General features: G+C 41.7%; 1 protein-coding gene across 6 annotated transcripts in view; it reads left to right on the top strand.

The window, feature by feature from the left end:
* PRSS51 (serine protease 51) overlaps positions 1-22329 on the top strand; it is a 66431-nt gene that overhangs the window by 36317 nt on the left and 7785 nt on the right. For 2 of the 6 annotated variants that reach the window (XR_007060819.1, XR_007060818.1), the window contains exons 2-3: positions 12599-12791; positions 13436-13695. Coding sequence is in view for 2 of the 6 variants with exons in the window: in XM_047422509.1 (XP_047278465.1) it covers positions 12599-12791; positions 13436-13695; positions 14630-14772; positions 14941-15081 (737 nt within the window). In the remaining 4 variants the exon portion in view is untranslated. Of the gene's footprint in view, positions 1-12598; positions 12792-13435; positions 13696-14629; positions 14773-14940; positions 16816-22329 lie in introns of those variants that run through there. The other 4 variants (XM_047422510.1, XM_047422509.1, XR_007060817.1 and 1 more) reach the window with 4 other exon arrangements.

Raw genomic sequence — 22329 nt, 5'->3', positions numbered from 1 at the left:
GCCCAGCTGGGGCCCCATGGAAAATTGCTTAGTGTGGGGAAAACACCCAACCATCTGGCATCAGAAACGAACTATTGAGAGTGGGGGCGTATAGAGTAGGAGGAAACAGTTTGTTTTTTCCTACCCTCTGAGCAATGTGACTTTGTCTTGTTTGTGGATGTGGGAAGGGACTGTGGAAGGGTTTAAGGAGAAAATCAGCAAGATCACTCCCACATGCTAGCCAGGGAACTGAGTTGGCCGTGTAGGAGGTGGGAGGAGGGGGTCGAGGGATCAGGGCTAACATGAGGGTGAGGAGACTGCCCCACAGTCCCAAGGAGAGATGCCGAGGGGGCTGACGGAGGGAGGGGCACAGGAAGAGGAAGGACAGGGCCCTCCTCTGCGTGTTGGAATGTGGGGGATTATTGGAGATGCAGGGGCTTGAGGAAGAAGTGGCAGCTTCAATGGGGAAGAGAACAGCTCCAGGCCACATAGGCCAAAGCAATCTCTGATTCACGTGGGGTCAACCTGGGGAAACAGGAGGACTGACAACAACCAACTCAGAGTAAATTGCAATATCCTCACAGGGTGGCAAGAGTAAAAAAAGACAGTGCCAGTTTCTGCAAAGTGACATCTTCTAACATAAATATTACTAATTTATTGCCATAAACTTGGTGTCCTGGGCAGTCTGTGTTTACTGAATTTTAAGCATTGTCAGCATTAAACATAAAGTGAATGTTTACTCTCTGTTTAAATGCTGCTAGCCGTTGGGTTTTCCTTAGTGCTGCGACCAAGACTGTTAAAAATTCTACCGCTGCAACCACGCGTTCTTAAACTTGGTGGCTGTGAGTTCTGAGAATTGAACAAACTCTTTGATGAAGAATTTGGGCACTGAATTCAGATTTGGTTTAAATCTTCAATATAAAAACAAACATTTGTCTATTTTTGTATTGGTGGAGCATGATTACCACTCAGTTTCAGTGTAACAACCAAAACTGAAACCAACCAGGCATCTGTAACAGCAGCTATTGCTACACATTCATGCTAAGCTGGGTTTGGAGCTCACCGTGGGCTTGCATCCTCCGTATATATGTGTTCACTTGGGAATATGAGAAACTCTACAGAGATGGGGAGGGAGCAATGCAGAGAGAATGGGGAGAAAATGAGGAGATCAAGAGTGGAACTGTGAGAAGTATGGAAGACCTTTCCTACTCTGATTTAAATTTCAAGTCTGGAATTGCAAAACGTGAAATAAAAATCTGGGGCAAGAGATGGGATGAGAAATATCCACCCTGAATTAACAAGAGATGAGCCCTAAATAAATTCTCCCAATGATGTTAAAGCATTCTAATGCTGCAGAGTGACATCTTCTAGCATAAATATCTACTAATTTATTGTCATAAACTTGGTGTCCTTGGCAACCTATGTTTATTGAATTTACATTCTAATGCTGTAACATCACTAATGCTGCTTCTCTTAAAGAGAAGATTATTAGAGCAAACGATGGCAATCATGACAGATGGACATGGACAGATTCATTCAAAAGAAGTTTCTTCAATAATTTCTTATAAAAGAGAATGACTTTCTGAGCATTTAAACCATAAGAAGAAATGAAAAGGAAAAGATTTAATCAAGCAACAAATTTTAACTTCCAAACATCAAAACAGAAGAAATTGATACATTGGGTGAGCCGAGTGTTATTCACTGAAAAACAGTTTTTTGTTTTTTGTTTTGTTTTGTTTTTTTTTTTTTTTTTTTTTTCAGAAAAAGGACTTTCAAATTTCCTTAAAATTTAAATAACTTTTTTACAAAAACAATTGGTAAATATTATACTTAAAATGAACTTTAAACAAGTTCATAGGTAAAGTCCTAGGAGCACAGAGGTAGAGAAATGACCTTTCAGAGCAGATTCTTGCGGGGAAAAACCAGGTGGGACCGCAAATAAGTATCCTGAAGGAGCCAGGGCAAGATCACATCCCTCAACTTTAAATACAGTCAGGGGGCCAGGCGCGGTGGTTCACGCCTATAATCCCAGCACTTTGGGAGGCCGAGGTGGGCAGATCACGAGGTCAGGAGATTGAGACCATCCTGCCTAACACAGTGAAACCCCTTCTCCATTAAAAGTACAAAAAATTAGCCGGGCGTGGTGGCGGGCGCCTGTAGTCCCAGCTACTCAGGAGGCTGAGGCAGGAGAATGGCGTGAATCCGGGAGGCAGAGCTTGCAGTGAGCCGAGATCACACTACTGCACTCCAGCCTGGGTGACAGAGCGAGACTCTGTCTCAAAAAAAAAGAAAAAAAAAAGAAAAAAAACAGTCAGGGTATGCATAACAACGTTTGGGGCAATGACAAACTGCATATATGACAGTGGTCGCACAAGACTACAATGGAGCTGAGAAATTCCTGTCCCCTGGTGACGTGGTAGCTGTCACCAGAGCACAACTCATCACTGATGTGTCGTGGTGCTGCTGGTTTTAGCAAACCTCCCATACTGTCAGTTGTATAAAAGTCCAGCATATACAATTATGCACATCAAATAATACTTGATAAAGATAAGCGATTATGGTACTGATTTATGTATTTATTACACTATATATATTTCATAATTTTAGAGTATACTCCTTCTTATTAAAAAATAATTAACTATAAAACAGCCTGAGACAGGTCCTTCGGGAGGTATCCAGAAGGTATTGTTATCATAGGAGATGACAGCTCCATGCATGTTCTTGGCCCTGAAGACCTCCCAGTGGGACAAGAGGTAGAGGTAGAAGACCGTGATATTGATGATCTTGACCCCTGTGTAGGTCTATGAAGGGCTAATGTGTGTGTGTGTCTTAATTTCTTTAAAAATGTTTAAAAAGTAAAAATTAATTTTTTAAATCTTTTTTTATTATAGTTTAAGTTTTAGGGTACATGTGCACAACATGCAGGTTAGTTACATGTGTATATATGTGCCATGTTGGTGTGCTGCACCCATTAACTCGTCATTTAACATTAGGTATATCTCCTAATGCTATCCCTCCCCCATCCCCCCACCCCACAACAGGCCCCAGAGTGTGATGTTCCCCTTCCTGTGTCCATGTGTTCTCATTGTTCAATTCCCACCTATGAGTGAGAACATGTGGTGTTTGGTTTTTTGTCCTTGTGATAGTTTGCTCAGAATGATAGTTTCCAGCTTCATCCATGTCCCTACAAAGGACATGAACTCATCATTTTTTATGGCTGCATAGTATTCCATGGTGTATATGTGCCACATTTTCTTAATCCTGTCTATCGTTGTTGGACATTTGGGTTGGTTCCAAGTCTTTGCTATTGTGAATAGTGCCGCAATAAACATAGGTGTGCATGTGTCTTTATAGCAGTATGATTTATAGTCCTTTGGGTATATACCCAGTAATGGGATGGCTGGGTCAAATGGTATTTCTAGTTATATAGATCCCTGAGGAATCGCCACACTGACTTCTACAATGGTTGAACTAGTTTACAGTGCCACCAAGAGTGTAAAAGTGTTCCTGTTTCTCCACATCCTCTCCAGCACCTGTTGTTTCCTGACTTTTTAATGATCACCATTCTAACTGGTGTAAGATTGTATCTCATTGTGGTTTTGATTTGCATTTCTCTGATGGCCAGTGATGATGAGCATTTTTTCATGTGTCTTTTGGCTGCATAAATGTCTTCTTTTGAGAAAGGTCTGTTCATATGCTTTACCCACTTTTTGATGGGGTTGTTTGTATTTTATTTCATAAAAATAAGGATATAAAGAAAGAATTTTTTTGTGTGTGTGTGACGGAGTCTCACTGTGGCTGGAGTGCAGTGGTGCAATCTTGGTTCACTGCAACCTCTGCCTCCGGGTTCAAGTAATCTCCTGCCTCAGCCCCCCAAGTAGCTGGGACTATAGGCACGCATCACCATACCCAGCTAATTTTTGTATTTTTAGTAGAGATGGGGTTTCACCATATTGGCCAGGCTGGTCTCGAACTACTGACCTCATGATCTGCCCGCCTCGGCCTCCCAAAGTGCTGGGGTTACAGGCGTGAGCCACCGTGTCCAGCCAGAAAGAAAATATTTTTACAGTGTACAATGTGTATTTTAAGCTATGTTATGACCAAAGAATTTTAAGATATTAAAAACATAAAAGTTTATAGGTAAAAAAAGTTACAGAAGCTAAGATTAATTTATTAATGAAGAAAGAAAAACTATTCTTTATAAATATAATGTAGCCTAAGTGTACAGTGTTTACAAAGTCTACCACCGTGCAGACTCCTGTCCTAGGCCTTCACATTCACTCACTGCTAACTCACTGACTCACCCAGAGCAACTCCAGTCCTGCGAGCTCCATTCATGGTAAAATGCCCTGGACGAGGGCACTGTAATATCTTTTATGTCATATTTTTACTGTACCTTCTCTATGTTTAGATACACAAATACCATCGTGTTACAGTTGCCTACAATATTCAGTACAGTAACTTGCTGTATGGTTTTGTAGCCTAGGAGCGATCGGCTATGCCATACAGCCTAGGTGTGAGCAGGCTACACCATCTAGCTGTATGTAAGTTCACTCTATGATGCTTGCCTTTAACCCCACATTTCTCAGAATGTATCCCATTTTTTTTCTCTGCCATATTTGTGTTTATTGTGCAGTATCATTACGTTCAATGCGTAGGAGATACGAAAATATCACCTAGGTTATATTATCCTATAATTTTCTATATATGACTTCATAGATTTCTTCTGACAGAAGCATTTGTTGATGTGGTATTGTACAGAGGGGATAATGTTTGGAAGAAGATAAATTTGTGTTTAAACCCTGATACGTCTTCCAGTTAGCAGTGTAATTTTTCCTGTTCCTTGAAATCTTCAAACCAAAGTTTTCATATTTGTAAGATGGGCTAATAATACTTGTCTCAGTGAATGTTAGTTATCTCTTTTTTGTCCCAAACTCCTCCCTGCCCTCCCTGCCAACCTGGATCAATAGACCTGGTTACTGTTTGAGGATTATTAAGTTTTGAAAACCTCTGTGACAATCACAGATGATCTGCTCCAAGAAAATATCACTTTTTGTTTAACTACATCAACCCTACAAAGGATCATGTATCTCCATACCCACTTTTCAGTGTCAGGAGCCACCATCAGATTTTCATCCTCCTCTGGCTAATAATAGGAATCACCTGACCTTAAAAACTTCCTTCCTGTGAATGCCTCTTATTTTTCTGTGTTAATGGAATTTGGTTTCAAACTTGAAAGACTTGCCTTTCCCTATGATTACTGTTTACTTGTCAACCAGCTGTTCTTATTAAAAAGATATAATATGCCTAAACATATTTAAGAGTCTTATATATTAAATTCATAATCAAGAGATTGCCTTACCTATTGAGAATATGAAAGTTGGAAGGTCTTTTTTTTCATAGGGAGAGGAAGAGGAGAGAGATGGTAACAATATTGACTTTGGACTAAAAAATATGAAATACGTTTATTTGATAGGGATTTCACTGATTAGATGTTATTTGAAATGAAGAATGTTTTCCTGATAAATTCATATTTTGAGGCTGTATTAGTCCATTCTTGCACTGCTATGAAGAAACACCCAGGACTGGTTAATTCATAAAGAAAAGAGGTTTAACTGATTCACAGTTCTGTGTGGCTGGGGAAACCTCAGGAAACTTATAATCATGGTGAAAGGCACCTCTTCACAGGGCAGCAGGAGAGAGAATGAGTGCCACCAGGGGAAATGCCAGATGCTTATGAAACCATCAGATCTTGGGAGAACTCACTCTGATTCAGTTACCTCTTACGGGGTTCCTCCCATGACACGTGGGGATTACGGTATTACAATTCAAGATAAGATTTGGGTGGGTTCACAAAGCCAAACCATATCAGAGGCCAATATAAAATAGCATCTCATCTTTTCACTGTTCAGCTTAATGAAAATTATACATGTTCTCTAAATAATGCCTTACTGAATTTAACATATTTCTACTGAAAATTTCCTCAGGCCATCGATTCACAAATTTTAATGAACAAAGTTGAAATTAAGATTCCTTTGAAAACACTGAATGTAGTCATAATGTCTTGGAGTTTGAAACTTAGGGTCACCAATTTTCATTTATGAATGAAACATTCTCATGTCATAATAGAGATGAGAGTTTTTCAATGAAGAACTAAGTATGTGTTAGTTAATGAAGAATGAGAATTAAAGTATATTTTGTCAGTGTGATTTTTGTCATTACTGAAAGTGTAAACTAACCTTAACTATAAGGGGAGTTACTTGAAAATCAGTAATATTTACATAGTAATTGGTAAGAAGAGAGTTTATGAAATCTGTACTTTTTAGTTGTGTGTTTCTTGTAAAATTCTCCTGTTACCACTTAACTTTTCTCATTACTTGGAAGAACCTTCCACCTTCTTGTGTTTAAAACGTCTTTCTTCTCATGGGGCTTTCTGTCAGCCTTGCCATAATTTAGTTCATTTTAGTAAATGCTTTTTGAGCTTAGTGTTAGACACTGTGCTAACCATGTGGGATATGCATTATATTTAAATCTCAGAGCAGGTAAAGCAATTGAGAATTTTGTTATTAGAAAGTAATCAAGTGCCTAGCAGTTTGTTCCATCATATTGGTGCAACACAGAGTGTTAACAGGCAAATTCTCTTGTCAGTTATTCTTAATCTGATATAGACATTGCCCTTACGATAGATAAAATGTGATTATATATAATAATATAAAGCTATTTTCAAGGAGACAATTCAGATTTGTGAGGAGGGAGATAATCTTTGATAAATGGTGTTTGGAATTTTTCTTTTTATTATTTTATTATTATTATAGTTTAAGTTTTAGGGTACATGTGCACTATGTGCAGGTTTGCTACATACGTATACATGTGCCATGCTGGTGTGCTGCACCCATTAACTCGTCATTTAGCATTAGGTATATCTCCTAATGCTATCCCTCCCCCCTCCCCCCACCCCACAACAGGCCCCAGAGTGTGATGTTCCCCTTCCTGTGTCCATGTGTTCTCATTGTTCAATTCCCACCTGTGAGTGAGAACATGTGGTGTTTGGTTTTTTGTCCTGGCGATAGTTTGCTGAGAATGATGGTTTCCATTTTCATCCATGTCCCTACAAAGGACATGAACTCATCATTTTTTATGGCTGCATAGTATTCCATGGTGTATATGTGCCACATTTTCTTAATCCAGTCTATCGTTGTTGGACATTTGGGTTGGTTCCAAGTCTTTGCTATCGTGAATAGTGCCGCAATAAACATACGTGTGCATGTGTCTTTATAGCAGCATGATTTATAATCCTTTGGGTATATACCCAGTAATGGGATGGCTGGGTCAAATGGTATTTCTAGTTCTAGATCCCTGAGGAATCGCCACACTGACTTCCACAATGGTTGAACTAGTGTACAGTCCCACCAACAGTGTAAAAGTGTTCCTATTTCTCCACATCCTCTCCAGCACCTGTTGTTTCCTGACTTTTTAGTGATCGGCATTCTAACTGGTGTGAGATGGTATCTCACTGTGGTTTTGATTTGCATTTCTCTGATGGCCAGTGATGATGAGCATTTTTTCATGTGTGTTTTGGCTGCATAAATGTCTTCTTTTGAGAAGTGTCTGTTCATATCCTTCGCCCACTTTGTGATGGGTTTGTTTGTTTTTTTCTTGTAAATCTGTTTGAGTTCATTGTAGATTCTGGATATTAGCCCTTTGTCAGATGAGTAGGTTGCGAAAATTTTCTCCCATTTTGTAGGTTGCCTGTTCACTCTGATGATAGTTTCTTTTGCTGTGCAGAAGCTCTTGAGTTTAATTAGATCCCATTTGTCAATTTTGGCTTTTGTTGCCATTGCTTATGGTATTTTAGACATGAAGTCCTTGCCCATGCCTATGTCCTGAATGGTATTGCCTAGGTTTTCTTCTAGGGTTTTTATGGTTTTAGGTCTAACATGTAAGTTTTTAATCCATCTTAATTTTTGTATAAGGTGTAAGGAAGGGATCCAGTTTCAGCTTTCTACATATGGCTAGCCAGTTTTCCCAGCACCATTTATTAAATAGGGAATCCTTTCCCCATTGCTTGTTTTTATCAGGTTTGTCAAAGATCAGATGGTTGTAGATAAGCGGCATTATTTCTGAGGGCTCTGTTCTGTTCCATTGATCTACATCTCTGTTTTGGTACCAGTACGATGCTGTTTTGGTGACTGTAGCCTTGTAGTATAGTTTGAAGTTAGGTAGCGTGATGCCTCCGGCTTTGTTCTTTTGGCTTAGGATTGACTTGGCAATGTGGGCTCTTTTTTGGTTCCATATGAACTTTAAAGTAGTTTTTTCCAATTCTGTGAAGAAAGTCATTGGTAGCTTGATGGGGATGGCATTGAATCTATAAATTACCTTGGGCAGTATGGACATTTTCACGATATTGATTCTTCCTACCCATGAGCATGGAATGTTCTTCCATTTGTTTGTATCCTCTTTTATTTCATTAAGCAGTGGTTTCTAGTTCTCCTTGAAGAGGTCCTTCACGTCCCTTGTAAGTTGGATTCCTAGGTGTTTTATTCTCTTTGAAGCAATTGTGAATGGGAGTTCATTCATGATTTGGCTCTCTGTTTGTCTGTTATTGGTGTATAAGAATGCTTGTGATTTTTGTACATTGATTTTGTATCCTGAGACTTTGCTGAAGTTGCTTATCAGCTTAAGGAGATTTTGGGCTGAGACAATGGGGTTTTCTAGATATACAATCATGTCATCTGCAAACAGGGACAATTTGACTTCCTCTTTTCCTTATTGAATACCCTTTATTTCCTTCTCCTGCCTAATTGCCCTGGCCAGAACTTCCAACACTATTTTTAAGCGACCCATGACTATACCTCCAACTATCCCTGGCCCAGTCAGAGACTCTTTTTTTTTTTTTTTTTAAACAGAATCTTGCTGTGTCACCCAGGCTAGAGTGCAGTGGCGCGATCTCTGCTCACTGCAACCTCTTCCTCCCGGGTTCAAGCAATTCTCCTGCTTCAGTCTCTCAAGTAGCTGGGACTACAGGTGCCCACCACCATGACTGGCTAATTTTTGTATTTTCAGTAGAGATGGGGTTTCACCATGTTGGCCAGGCTGGTCTTGAACTCCTGGCCTCATATGATCTGCCTGCCGGGCATCTCAAAAATGCTGGGATGACAGGCGTAAGCCACCGCGCCTGGCCCCTCATAGACTCTTCTAGATGGAAGCCCTGTCTCACTCCCCTCCTGTGTGCGGAGGGATCCTCTGGGCTCCCTCTGCTCAAAATCTATCACCATCTCCTCCTAGCTGCCCGTACAATGGTAACAAGTAGCAGAGGTAGTGGACATCTGTGCTGTTCTTGACTCCGTGGGGAGGCTTCCAGCTTTTCCCCAGTCAGCATGCTACTCACTTGCGGGCCAAGGTAGATACACTTTATCATGTTAGGGAAATGCTCATCTATTCCTATTTTTATGTGTCATTTAAAATTCAAGAACAATCATTGCCCATATTCTCTAGCTATCATTTTTCTAATTATTTTTACAAAGATTCATGTTAACCTCACTTTTAGACAAGATATTGAAATTTTTAGTACTCCCAAGAATCCCCTCTATCTGCTCCTTTGTACTCACCCCTCCCCGACCCCCAACTCCTGGCAGCCACTGACCTGTTATCCACACCCAGAGTTTTGCCTTGTCCAGAATGCCATATAAATATAACCCTACACAGTATGTGACCTTCTCAGCCTGGGTTCTCTGACTTAGCATAATGCACTTGAGACTTCTCTGTTGTTGCATGCGCCAATAGTTCCTTTTTATTCCTGGGTGGTATTCCACCATGTGGATAGATTACAGTTCTCTTATCCATTCACCCATTGAGGGATATTTGGGTATTTGCAGTTTGGAGGATTGTGAACAATCCCACAATAAATATTCCTGTGTGTCTGCTACAGTGGGTAAAATAAAAACTTCTGATAGTACCGAGTGTTGGCAAGGATGTAAAGATGTAAAGTGATAGGAACTCTTATCCACTGTTTTTTTTTTTTTTTTTTTTTTTTTTTTTTTTTTTTTTTGAGACAGAGTCTTAGAGTCTTGCTCTGTCTCCCAGGCTGGAGTGCAGTGGTGTGATCTTGGCTCACTGCAACCTTTGCCTCCTGGGTTCAAGTGATTCTCCTGCCTCCTGCCTCAGCATCCCAAGCAGCTGGGACTACAGGCCCATGCTACCATGCCCAGCTAATTTTTGTATTTTTAGTAGAGACAGGGTTTCACCATGTTAGTCCGCCTTGTCTCAAACTCCTGACCTCAGTTGATCCAACTGCCTCGGCCTCCCAAAGTGCTGGGATTATAGGCGTGAGCCACTGCACCCAGCCGGAGTTCTTATCCATTGTTGATGGGAATGCAAAATGGTGCAGCCATGTGGAAAGCAACTGGGCAGTTTTGTAAAAGGTTGAGCGTGCACTGACCACATGACCTAGCAGTCCCTATCTATCTAGGTATTTATCCCCCCAAAATTAAAAATTACATTCACACAAAAATCTCTCTTTTAAACTCTGCTTTGATTTGCATTGCTTCTCTAATTTACATACTCCTTATCCCTTACTATGCTGTCCAAAGAATTTTCTGTATTTTATTCTTCTGTTTCTAGCCCGACTTCTGCCAGCTCATGCCCCATCTCCTCCTTTTTCTCACTTTCTCCTCGTGTTTTCTTACAAAGTCTTCCTTGAGTTTCTAATTTATAATCTTCTTTCACATAGGTGATTGCTTTATAAGGTTTTATTTTTTATGATTTATGGCAAAATATACTACTCAGATTTTTTTATTTGTTCTGGGTAACATTTTCCTATTTAGAGTTTCATCTAGTAAATGTTGCTGTTTTTTTCCCATCCCTGTTCCTTTAAAAAAGAATACACATTTATTATGCCTGTGCCAAGTCTCTATTTGCTTCTCATTTTCCTGGGCTATTTCCAGGAGTCCTTCCGGGCATGGATACTTGCTGGAGACTGGTGGCCACAGTGACCATGTCCTTTACTCTGCATGTCTTTTTTGCGCCCCAACCCCCTACAGGCCTTCTTTGGATCCCTGTAAACTGGGTTGGCAGTAATGCAGCTGGACCCTGTAAGAAATTTTTCTTCGTAGCAAGCACAACATTAAGCATTCTCAGCAGTAGGTGCTGGAAGGATACTGCAGGTGGAAGGGGCCTTTCTTCCTGGTCCTCTCCAGCATGCTTCTGTTTGCTGCTTCTTGCTCCTATGGCGTGGTTGCCACCAGCATGTGGGGAACACCTGGTGTTGCTCGGCTCTGCCATGCCTCTCTCAGTGAGCTCGAGCCCTGTCTTCTGTTCAGTGACCTGTTCCACAAATGAGCCAAGGATGGCCCTTAGCTTGTCAATTTCTTCACAGCAGGCTTCTCATTAGCTCAAAAGCCTGCTGGTCCCAAACTCAATGTTTTACACATCCAGCTGTTTTTGAACATAGTCTAAATAAACAGATATTTAGCCATCTAAAGCTTGTCTGCTTTGCATACCCTGTGAAACTGCACCCAACATCTGCTAGCCACAGGTAATATGAAGCCTGTGGCTATAAAAGACCCCAAGCCATTGCTGCCCTTGAGAGCTCTCTGACCCAGAGACTCCCCACTGTGCCAGTGAACCACATCACCTAGACGAGTAACCCCTGTCAGAGTCCTCTTTCCTCAGAAGTCCCCTTGTCCTCTTCCTCTTCTGGATGGTGTCTCCTTAACCTCCAGATAGTCTCAGGCTGTAAAGGGCTTCTTCCCCCACATGCAACCTCCCAAAGCATTTCTCAAATGAAACCTGTGTATGCTGCCACCACCTCGTGATCATATCTTTTTCTTGGATCAGCCTCGAAATCCCCCGAGCCCTCTACACCTTTTCAGTGCAGCTGTCCCAAGACAGACAGACACACACACCCAGGTCTTGCACCCTCCCTAGCCAGTGGGCAGGCACCTGTGTGGTGCACCAGTCCACCTGCGCTCCAGAGGGGTGTTCCTTGTTGCCAGTCATGGCCACCGTTTCCTGGCCACCTGAACTCCCGAGAGGTGTATTCTGCTTCTCTAGCAAAGGGGATCAGCTCTGGCCCCGGGCAACCCGGCAAATGTCTCTGCCTTCTGCTGGGCTGCAGACACCTTCTTCAATGTGTTGTGAGTCCCACTCCTGGGGAGGGGGAGAGGCTCCCCTGCCAAGTTCGGCTCCTCCTCAGATACTCTCCTCCTGCCCTGCTGTATCTTAGAGTGCTCCTGATGCTTCGTAGTCGCTCCCCAGTTACAGTGTGTGATTCTTCCTGTTAAACTTTCCTTGTTCAAATCACTGCACAGCTTCCATCTCGTAAGTGGACCCTGTGTACCTTTGGTGCATCTCCATGGCCACTCTAACCCTATATGCCTCTGAAAGAGCCCTGCTCAAAGTTTACCAGGTCTCTCAGCTCTCTGCGGCTGTGAAGAATGAACACGGAAAAAGGTGCAGGTTGCTGGTGTTTTCTGAGCTCTCCCTCTCCTCGGCCTGTTTGCTGTTGGTGCTACCTTGCTCAGCTTTCAACACTGGTCTTACTTGGGAAGATTCTGGGATTAAGGGATAGGGATCTCTCCATGCTTCTCATGTACAAATGGCTCTTTCCTTTCTCTTTCAGAAAACGTACAATGTGGCCACAGGCCTGCTTTTCCAAACTCGTCATGGTTACCATTTCATGAACGGCTTCAAGTCCAGAATGGTGAGTGCCCGTGGCAAGTGAGTATCCAGATGTCACGGAAACACCTCTGTGGAGGCTCAATCTTACATTGGTGGTGGGTTCTGACAGCCGCACACTGCTTCCGAAGAACCCTGTAAGTGTCTTCATCTACATCCCGTCTTGTCAATGTATTGTCTGGGCTAGGCAGCTCAGTAGGCCAGTGCACAGGCCTATGAAGCCCTAGGTTCTATGTGCAAAATGTTGCATGGGCTTTGTACCCCAGGGTCTCTGCTGTACACCCACTCCCTCCCCTTTATTTAGCCAATCATATCCAAATGTGGGCTGTAGTCAGAGCTATGCACCCAGTACATCCAATACACTCTGTCCTGCCTGTCATCTGTGTATGAAGACAACACACTGGAATCATTGATTGAACACCTTCCCGCTGAGCACCTACTATGTACTGTTCCAAGTGCTGTGGACATAGGAGTTGACAACACTGCCAAGGTCCCTGTCATCAAGGAGCTTACAATCTCATCTCTCAGAGGGATTCATTCCTCTTCTTTTGGTCAGGAGAGTTTCCCTGGACTGTCAACCCATTGGTTCAGAGATTTGTCAGAGCTTGGGCCCCTGATTCCTACCTATCTGATCCTAGCCATGCTCCAGACCACTGTAGCTCACCCACTGCACTGGACTTCTCCTTAGTTGTCAACTCACTGTTTACAGATGTGTCTACAAATGTGAATTGCACTATCAGTCACCCTTGTTAGCACTGGTGTTTTTATATTCGTTCTTTAGATTAGACATGGCCGTGGTAAATGTCACTGTGGTCATGGGAACGAGAACATTCAGCAACATCCACTCGGAGAGAAAGCAAGTGCAGAAGGTCATTATTCACAAAGATTACAAACCGCCCCAGCTCGACAGTGACCTCTCTCTGCTTCTACTTGCCACACCAGTGCAATTCAGCAATTTCAAAATGCCTGTCTGCCTGCAGGAGGAGGAGAGGACCTGGGACTGGTGTTGGATGGCACAGTGGGTAACGACCAATGGGTATGGTACGTGCCCTCTTTTCAGAACTCATAGAAAGCCCCAATGTAGGGTACCCTAGGCTAGAGAGCATGATGCTTTGGGTGCGGTAATGCTTGGGTCTGAACTGTGGTTTTAACTCTCTTGAGCTCCTTCACCTTCCTCACCTTCAGTTTTCTCATCTGCAGAATGCCAGGAACACCTCCTCAAAAAGGTATGGGGATTAAATTAAATGAGGTCCCCAGTAAAAGCCTAGGACATAGAAGAATCTCAAAATATGAGAGCGATGATAATTTTTGTGGTGCCAAAAGCATGATAAGCCAGTTTGCATCTTCCCGCCTGTGGCTCTTTCACGATGGCCATCTCCCCATCTATTGGCCACCCCATGTAAAACACCATCCCAAGATAGCTCTGAGCCAGTGATTCTCCAACCAAGCTCCATCCTTTTCCCTGCAAGGCACCAGGCTGCCTGGCCAGGGAAGATCTCTGGGAGGGTGGGAGTGTTGGGGGGAGAAGGCCAAGAGTGCCCCTGGCATTGTGGTCAGTTCCTTCCTACAAGGTGGCATGACCAGATGTGTCTTCTTTTTGGGTTCTCCATTTGGGTTGGTGAAGACACTGGACAACACCAATTCAAAGGTTGGGCTGCTCTGATCCTCTGCATGGGGCAAAGCCTGGCTGTGAAGAGATGGTGGGGCCAGGGAGGACCTTCATTCCAGGCTGGGGCTTTTGTGGGCTGTTTCTGGAGAGAGTGAGCTTCCCACAGGAAGCACATTTAGTGGAGGAACTTCTTGTTGGGGCTGTTGGAGTGGAGACTGAAGTCATCCCAGGCCTCTATGCCCTGTGAATTTGTCATCTGCTGGACGTTGGTGGCCTCCCAGGCTTCCACGCTGATCGCGTGTGGGCTGTTCACTGTTGCCGGCTGATGCAGTGCTCACTCTCACACCAGCTTTCTCCCTTTGTCAGACCAATATGATGACTTAAACATGCACCTGGAAAAGCTGAGAGTGGTGCAGATTAGCCGGAAAGAATGTGCCAAGAGGATAAACCAGCTGTCCAGGAACATGATTTGTGCTTGGAACGAACCAGGCACCAATGGTATCTTCAAGGTACTCACCCCTGCCCAGCCTCCTCCTCCCTCCAGGTACCCCCTCACTTTCTAGGTTCCCAAATGGGGGGGCCCTAGCCTACACCACTAGGACCCTCCCATTTTCCCCTCCCTGTTCCTGCTGGAGGTGCCATTGACTGCAGACTGTTCTTCCTTTCCTCATTCCCAGGGAGACAGTGGGGCACCTCTGGTTTGTGCTATTTATGGAACCCAGAGACTCTTCCAAGTGGGTGTCTTCAGTGGGGGCATAAGATCTGGCTCCAGGGGGAGACCTGGTATGTTTGTGTCTGTGGCTCAATTTATTCCATGAAGCCAGGAGGAGACAGAAAAGGAGGGGAAAGCCTACACCATAATCTCAGGATCCACGAGAAGCCGAGAAGCTCACTGGTGTGTGTTCCTCAGTACCCCTTCTTGCTAGGATTGGGGTCTCAAATGCTGCTGGCCACCATGTTTACCGTTGATAAACCTAACTGCTAAGCTTTGGACCCACCCTTTTTCCTTCTCTTTCTTCTCTCTCCTCTCTTCCTTTCCATTCTCCCACAAGCATCTGTGGAGCATGTGCTGTGGGGTAGCATCTACACCAGCCCCCAGAAGTTAGACATGGACTCACTTCTCCCAAATCTCACAGTCTAATGAAGGAATGTTAAACACAGTGCTAAAAAGAGGCACGAGCAGTGCATGGGGCCTCCCGGAGGAAAACAATAACCTCCAACAAAGAAGGACGGTTTCAGGAAAGCATTGGAAACTCAACGTTGGGAAATGACTTACGTTTCTTGATCTCAGTTTCCTTGTCCATGAAAAAGCAGATTCCATTAGATGAACTGTAAGGTCTTTCATCACACCAACATTCTGTGACGCTTAATAACTTATTTCTGTCATGGAAGGCAATATTACCTCATCATCATTGCCCCACTCTAATTCCGTCAGTTCAGTGCATGATACGGACGCACACACAGGGAACCCCCATCTGAGGTGCAAATTCTTTCATCTCCTGGGCCATCCATGAAAGAAAGTCTCCGGTAGAGTTAGGATCAGGGGTCTTTTGTCCAGTTTGAACTTGAACATGGGGAGATTATGGCTTGCTACTTATAGACCACACCATCCTTTCTCTATCCTTAATTATTCAAATAAAAAGTATAATGAGGTGGATTGGAGGAAGTGGCAACATCTGCCCTCTCCACATATGTGGGTCACTGAGTGAGGCCCACTGCCAGTCGCCAAAGTCATCATCCAGCCAGTGAGAAAGGATAAAAATTCCAGATGAGAAAGCAGCACATCTTTTCACTGAGTGGCAACAAAATAGCTTGTGTGGCCAGACTGAAATATAAGTGATAAGAATTTGTTTTTAGAAAACTAAGAGACCATGTTTATTTAAAGATTGGTGCCATGAAGGACAGTCAGGGACTGGTGGTAGTTTTCTGGGAGGTCCTTTCTTGGTTATGTCTACCTGGCATAGCTACAAAGGAGACAATCATATGTGGCCCCATAAAAAAGAAAGACATTCAGCTGCTCATTCATTCATTCATTCATTCAGATACTTTGTGAAACAGGCACTGGAAAGATACAGGAATGTAGATGGTATGGGTGGTTCATGACATCTAATGTATATGTCACAGCCAAATTTGTGCCTCTTCTCATAGGGTCCCCTCGCAATTAGTAATTAGTTTCATTATATAAATGCAGTTGTCCCTTGGTATCTGTGGGAAATTGGTTCCAGGACCCTTCTTGGATACGAAAATCCATGGATGCTCAAGTTCCTCATATAAAACAGTATTTGTATATACCCTATGCAATCCTTCCATACACTTTAAATCTTCTCTAGATTACTTATAGTGCCGAATACAATGTCAATGCTATGTAAACAGTTGTTACACTGTATTGTTCAAGGATAATAATTTTTAAAAAGTTCGTGCATATTCAGTACAGATACAGCCATCCATATTTTTTCCAAATATTTTCTATCTGAGGTTGGTTGAATCCACAGATGCAGAAACCATGGATATGGAGGGCCAACTGAACTTGTATACATACATGTATACATATACTTATGTATGTATATGCGTCTGTATACTTACCTATGTATGTATGCACGTGTCTGTATACATACATAATTTTATATATACGTAAGTATATAAAAATATATATTGTTTTATTTCTAAATACATATCATTTATTTATGGATAGTTTCCTTTCATTACATATATGTCAAGAGACAGGGATTTATTTCAAACAACTGGCCCATGTGATTGTGGGGGCTAGCAAGTCTAAATCTGTGGGGAAGGCAGGTAAACTGGAGACCCAAGGAAGAGGTGATGGTGCAGTATCAAGTCCGAAGGCCATCTAGGGGAAAAATTTCTTCTTTGGGGGACTTAAATCCTTTCTCCTAAGACCTTCATCTGATTGGATGAGGCCAACTCACACATGGAGGGCACTCTGCTTTCCTCAAGGTCTACTGATTCAAATGTTAATCACGTCTAAAAATAGCCTTCAGAGCAACATCTACACTGCTGCTCAAACAAACAACTGGGCACCAGAGCATGGCCAAGTTGGACACATTAAATTAACCATCAACAGTGTCATGGTCCCATCTCTTGGACTACTGGGAACAACATGAAATACAGGACTTCCCTCTTTGAAGTTTAACGGCTTACCCACCAAAAAAAGTCCAGAACCACATGGATTCACAGCTGAATTCTACCAGAGGTACAAGGAGGAGCTGGTACCATTCCTTCTGAAACTATTCCAATCAATAGAAAAAGAGGGAATCCTCCCTAACTCATTTTATGAGGCCAGCATTATCCTGATACCAAAGCCTGGCAGACACACAACAAAAAAAGATAATTTTAGACCAATATCCTTGATGAACATTGATGCAAAAATCCTCAATAAAATAATGGCAAACCAAACCCAGCAACACATCAAAAAGCTTATCCACCATGATCAGGTGGGCTTCATCCCTGGGATGCAAGGCTGGTTTAACATATGCAAATCAATAAACAATCCAGCATATAAACCGAACCAAAGACAAAAACCACATGATTATCTCAGTAGATGCAGAAAAGGCCTTTGACAAAATTCAACAACCCTTCATGCTACAAACTCTCAATAAATTAGGTATTGATGGGACGTATCTCAAAATAATAAGAGCTACCTGTGACAAACCCACAGGCAATATCATACTGAATGGGCAAAAACTGGAAGCATTCCCTTTGAAAACTGGCACAAGACAGGGATGCCCTCTCTCACCACTCCTATTCAACATAGTGTTGGAAGTTCTGGCCGGGGTAATCAGGCAAGGCAATCGGGGCAATCAGGAAGGAAATAAAGGGTATTCAATTAGGAAAAGAGGAAGTCAAATTGTTCCTGTTTGCAGATGACATGATTGTATATCTAGAAAACCCCATTGTCTCAGCCCAAAATCTCCTTAAGCTGATTAGCAACTCAGCAAAGTCTCAGGATACAAAATCAATGTACAAAAATCACAAGCATTCTTATACACCAATAACAGACAAACAGAGAGCCAAATCATGAGTGAACTCCCATTCACAATTGCTTCAAAGAGAATAAAATACTTTTAGGAATCCAACTTACAAGGGATGTGAAGGACCTCTTCAAGGAGAACTACAAACCACTGCTTAATGAAATAAGAGAGGATACAAACAAATGGAAGAACATTCCATGCTCATGGGAAGGAAGAATCAATATCATGAAAGTGTCCATACTGCCCAAGGTAATTTATGGATTCAATGCCATCCCCATCAAGCTACCAATGACTTTCTTCACAGAATTGGAAAAAACTACTTTAAAGTTCATATGGAACCAAAAAAGAGCCTGCATTGCCAAGTCAATCGTAAGCCAAAAGAACAAAACCGGAGGCATCACGCTACCTGACTTCAAACTATACTACAAGGCTACAGTCACCAAAACAGCATTGTACTGGTACCAAAACAGAGATATAGATCAATGGAACAGAACAGAGCCGTCAGAAATAATGCCGCTTATCTACAACCATCTGATCTTTGACAAACCTGATAAAAACAAGCAATGGGGAAAGGATTCCCTATTTAATAAATGGTGCTGGGAAAACTGGCTAGCCATATGTAGAAAGCAGAAACTGGATCCCTTCCTTACACCTTATACAAAAATTCATTCAAGATGGATAAACCATAAAAACCCTAGAAGAAAACCTAGGCAATACCATTCAGGACATAGGCATGGGCAAGGACTTCATGTCTAAAACACCAAAAGCAATGGCAACAAAAGCCAAAATTGACAAATGGGATCCGAGTAAACTAAAGAGCTTCTGCACAGCAACACAAACTACCATCAGAGTGAACAGGCAACCTACAGAATGGGAGAAAATTTTTGCAGCCTACTCATCTGACAAAGGGCTAATATCCAGAATCTATAATGAACTCAGACAAATTTACAATAAAAAATCAAACAACCCATCAAAAAGTGGGTGAAGGATATGAACAGTCCCTTCTCAAAAGAAGACATTTATGGAGCCAAAAGACACATGAAAAAATGCTCATCATCACTGGCCATCAGAGAAATGCAAATCAAAACCACAATGAGATACCATCTCACACCAGTTAGAATGCCGATCATTAAAAAGTCAGGCAACAACAGGTGTTGGAGAGGATGTGGAGAAACAGGAACACTTTTACACTCTTGGTGGGACTGTAAACTAGTTCGACCATTGTGGAAGTCAGTGTGGCGATTCCTCAGGGATCTAGAACTAGAAATACCATTTGACCCAGCCATCCCTTTACTGGGTATATACCCAAAGGACTATAAATCATGCTGCTATAAAGACACATGCACACGTATGTTTATTGCGGCACTATTCACAATAGCAAAGTCTTGGAACCAACCTAAATGTCCAACAATGATAGACTGGATTAAGAAAATGTGGCACATATACGCCATGGAATACTATGCAGCCATAAAAAATGATGAGTTCATGTCCTTTGTAGGCACATGGATGAAACTGGAAACCATCATTCTCAGCAAACTGTCACCAGGACAAAAAACCAAACACCACATGTTCTCACTCATAGGTGGGAATTGAACAATGAGAACACATGGACACAGGAAGGGGAACATCACACACTGGGGACTGTTGTGGGGTAGGGGGAGAGGGAAGGGATACCATTAGGAGATATACCTAATGCTAAATGACGAGTTAATGGGTGCAGCACACCAACATGGCACATGTATACATATGTAACCTGAACATTGTGCACATGTACCCTAAAACTTGAAGTACAATAATAATAAAATTAAAAAAAAGAAAATGTGGTACATATACACCATGGAATACGATGCAGCCATAAAAAATGATGAGTTCATGTCCTTTGTAGGGACATGGATGAAGCTGGACACCATCACTCTCAGCAAACTATTGCAAGGACAAAAAACCAAACACCACTTGTTCTCACTCATAGGTGGGAATTGAGCAATGAGATCACATGGACACAGGAAGGGGAACATCACACACTGGGGCCTGTTGTGGGGTGGGGGGAGGGGGGAGGGATAGCATTAGGAGATAAACCTAATGTTAAATGAAGAGTTAATGGGTGCAGCACACCAACATGGCACATGTATACATATGTAACAAACCTGCACATGTACCCTGAAACTTTAGATGGCAAAAGAAAGTGACTTCCCCTATGCCACTAAAACGCCACTCTTCTTGATGCCCTTCAGTTCACAGAAGGAGACACTTGGTTCTTTTCTCTCATGACCCTGAGATAGGGTTCCCTGTTTAAGTCCAAATCACAAAGGTTAACTTTTTTTTGTTTTTTTTTTTATCTCTACATTTAAAAAAATGAATAGGCTTTTGACAGTTACAGGTTTATAAAAAAACTGAGCATAAAGTAAAGTATTATACAATGGATTCCCATATGCCCCACCTCCTCCCAATTTCTATTTTAATATCTTGCATTAGTGTGGCACATTACAATTAATAAGCCAATAGTGATGCATTATGATTAACTAGAATCTAGAGTTTATGTTAGGATTCACTGTTTGCATTGCACATGCTATGGGTTTTCATGGGTGTATGATGACATGTGGCCACCATTGTAGTAATCACACAGAGTGGCTTCCCTGCCTAAAAATCCTCAGTGCTTCACTTGTTCATCTATACCCTGGCAACCACTGATATTTTTACAGTCTCCCACAGATTTCCACGAATTAAGTTTGGCCAAACGTGAGTACAAAACATTCAACTGCTAAATTCATAAACGGAAAACAAACCATCATGAAAAAGAGCAGGAGAGAAGATTACACACCCAGAGTTCAGACATTTAAATTATTAGATAGTAAATATAAATAATTATGTATAAAATATTCTTTAAAAGGAAGAAACTTAAAATGAGACTGAAAACAAAATACCATCAAAAAATGGCCAGGCAGAATTGAAAAAGAATCCAGTGAAATTTATGGAAATAAAAATAGTAAACCAGGAGATGGATCTGAATATTGCTCAGGATGCTAAAAAGCAGTATGGGAAAACATGAGAGAGAAGTTACGAAACAAGGCAGATGGAGTTAAAAGGACTAACATATGACTACTGAAGTTTCAGAAGAAAAGAATAGAAATAATGGAGAAAAGGAAACATTCATTCAATGAGTCCATGACCAAGAATGTTCCATAATTAATGAAAGACATTGATCTTCCAATTCTGGAAGCACAATAGAGTCCAAGCAGAATTTATATATCTCTAAACATATTTTAGTGAAATGGCAAAACAATAAAGGCAGAGAAGATCTCAAAATTAGCATATGCGAGGAAAAAATGGATTACTTACAGCGGAGTATGAAATCAACAGACTTCTCAACGGCAGCAAGGGAAGCTAAAAGATGTTGGAATAATACCACCAATGTGCTGAGAAAAAATAACTGCCATATTTAAATTGTTGACACTAAAAACTATCATTCATGTAAAACAGATTTTAAAAACTGGTTTTCCACTAAAAAATTTTAATACAGACGTGCCGGAGAATGCCATTTTGGTCAATGACGAACTACATATATGATGGTGGTCAGAGCAACACACCACGCCATGTGGTCTAGGTGTGTAGTAGGCTATGCCATCTAGATTTGCATACATTGATGTGTGCCTAGCAATGAAATTGCCCAATGATACATTTCTCAGAATGTATCCTGACATGACTGTATTTTAAAACAGTTGAAATTTTACAATTTTGAAGGTGGCATATACAGGAATATTCGTAGCACCATAGTTTATAATAACAAAAAATTAGAAACACATAATTGCTAAATTCATAAATGGAAAACAAACCAATCTAAATGCTCATTATCAGAGACCTGAATAAATTTTGGTATAGTCAAACGGCAGAATAATCATCAGGGATCATTACATACATCAGCTGGAGTTAAACAGATCAACATAGCTGAATCTCACAATGCAGTGCAAAGGCAAGTTACAGAAAAATGTATTCAGTGGGATATTTCTATAAATTTTGAAAACGTGTAAGGATATATTCAGATGTAGAAAAATTAAGCAACCGCAAAGGGAAAAGAAACGT

The sequence above is a fragment of the Homo sapiens genome, chromosome 8 (genome assembly GCF_000001405.40).
Source record: "Homo sapiens chromosome 8, GRCh38.p14 Primary Assembly".
NCBI classification, from domain to species: Eukaryota; Metazoa; Chordata; class Mammalia; order Primates; family Hominidae; genus Homo; species Homo sapiens.
This window is presented reverse-complemented; position numbering and strand designations above follow the sequence as displayed.